General features: G+C 36.2%; 1 annotated feature.

The window, feature by feature from the left end:
• Positions 1,616–2,154: an enhancer, noted in NCBI's record as "OCT4 hESC enhancer chrX:61866355-61866893 (GRCh37/hg19 assembly coordinates)". NCBI's record gives its function as "activates a minimal SCP1, AML or CMV promoter by ChIP-STARR-seq in primed H9 embryonic stem cells {active_cell/tissue: H9 hESC(primed)}" and the evidence as "EXISTENCE:reporter gene assay evidence [ECO:0000049][PMID:30033119]".

The raw sequence follows: 2,402 nt of genomic DNA on the forward strand, positions 1-2,402 counted from the left end.
TTTTGTGGTAAATGCAAATGGATATTTGGAGAGGTTTGAGTCCAATGGTGGAAAAGGAAATATCTTCACATAAAAACTAGACAGAAGCATTCTGAGAAACTTCTTTATGATGTGTGCATTCAACTCATGGAGATGAACCTTTCTTTTGATTGATCACTTTTGAAACACTCTATTTGCAGAATCTGCAAGTGGATATTTGGAGCACTTTGAGGCCTACTGTGGAAAACGAAATATCTTCACATAAAATTACACAGAAGCATTCTGAGAAACTTCTTCGTGATGTGTGCATTTAACTCTCAGTGTTGAACCTTTCTTTTGCTTGCTCAGTTTGGAAACAGTGTTTTTGTTTCATCTGCAAATAGATATTTGGAGAGGTTTGAGGCCTATGCTGGGAAAAGAAATATCTTCAAATAAAAACTAGGTAGAAGCATTCTGAGAAACTTCTTTTTGATGTGTGCATTCATCTGACAGAGTTGAACCTTTCTTTTCATTGAGAAGTTTTGAAACACTCTTTTTGTAGAATCTGCAAGTAGGTGTTTGGAGCGCTTTGAAGCCTATGTTGGAAAAGGAAATATCTTCACATAAAAACTAGACAGAAGCATTCTCAGAAATTTCTTTGTGATGTGTGCATTCATCTCACAGAATTGAAACTTTCTTTTGATTGACCAGTTTGGAAACACTCTTTATGTAGCATCTGCAAGTGGCTATCTGGAGCTTTTTGAGGCCTATGTTGGAAAAGGAAATATCTTCACATAAAAACTACACAGAAGCATTCTGAGAAACTTCTTTTTGTTGTGTTTATTCACCACAGAGAGTTGAACATTTCTTTTGATTGAACAGTTTTGAAACATACTTTTTGTAGAATCTGCAAGTGGATATTTGAGCACTTTGAGGCCTATTCTGCAAGTGGATATTTGAGCACTTTGAGGCCTATTATGGAAGAGGAATTACCTTCAGTTTGGAAACACTCCTTTTGTAGAATCTACAAGTGGATATTTGGAGCTGTTTCAGGCCTATGGTGGTTAAAGAAGTATCTTCACATAAAACCTACACAGAAGCATACTGAGAAAGTGCTTTGCGATGTGTGCGTTCATCTCACAGTGTTGAACCTTTCTTTTTATTGAGCAGTTTTGAAAGACTCTTTTTGTAGTATCTGCAAGTGGATATTTGCAGTGCTTTGAGGCCTATTGTGTTAAAGAAAATGTCTTCACATAAAAAGTACACAGAAGTATTCTGAGAAACTTCTTTGTGATGACTGCATTCATCTCACGGAGTTGAACCTATCTTTTGATTCAGCAGTTTTGCAACACTCTTTTTGTAAATTCTGCCATTGGATATTTGAAGCGCTTTGGGACCTATTGTGGGAAAGGAATTATCTTCAGATAAAAATTGAACAGAAGTATTCTGAGGAACTTCTTTGCGATGTGTGCATTCATCTCACAGAGTTGAACCTTTCATTTGATTGAGCATTTGGAAACACTCTTTTTTGTAGAATCTGCAAGAGGATATTTGGATTGATTTGAGGCCTATGGTGGAAAAGGAAATATCTTCACATAAAAACTACTCAGAAGCATTGTTAGAAAATTCTTTGTGATGTGTACACTCAACTCACAGAGTTGAACCTTTCTTTTGATTGAGAAGTTTTGAAACTCTTTTTGAAGAATCTGTAAGTGGATATTTGCAGCCCTTTGCGGCTATTGGTGGAAAAGCAAATATCTTCACGTAAAAATGGCACAGAAGCATTCTGAGAAACTTTTCTATGATGTGTGCTTTCATCTCACAGAGTTGAAACTTTCTTTTGATTGAGCAGTTTTGAAACACTCTTTTTGTAGAATCCACATGTGGATATTTGGAGTGCTTTGAGGCCTATTGTGGAAAAGGAAATATCTTCACATAAAAACTACACAGAAGCATTCTGAGAAACTTCTTTGTGATGTGTGCATTCATCTCACAGAGTTGAACATTTCTTCTGATTGAGCCATTAGGAAACACTCTTTCTGTATAATTTGCAAGTGTATATTTGGAACACTTTGTGGCCAATGGTAGAAAAGGAAATATCTTCACATAAAAATTACACAGAAGCATTCTGAGAAACTTCTTTGGGATGTGTGCATTCATCTCACAGAGCTGAACTTTCTTTTTCTTGAACAGATTTGAAACGCTCTTTTTGTACAATCTGCAGCTGGATATTTGGAGCACTTTGAGGCCTCTTCTGGAAAAGGAAATATCTTCACATAAAAACTACACGGAAGCTTTCTGAGTAACTGCTTTGTGATGTGTACATTCATCTCACAGAGTTGAACCTTTCTTTTGATTGAGCAATTCAGAAACACTCTTTTTGTAGAATCTGCAGATGGATATTTGGAGTGCTTTGAGGCCTATATTGGAAAAGGAAAAACTAC

The sequence above is a fragment of the Homo sapiens genome, chromosome X (assembly GCF_000001405.40).
Source record: "Homo sapiens chromosome X, GRCh38.p14 Primary Assembly".
In the NCBI taxonomy this organism is placed as follows: domain Eukaryota; kingdom Metazoa; phylum Chordata; class Mammalia; order Primates; family Hominidae; genus Homo; species Homo sapiens.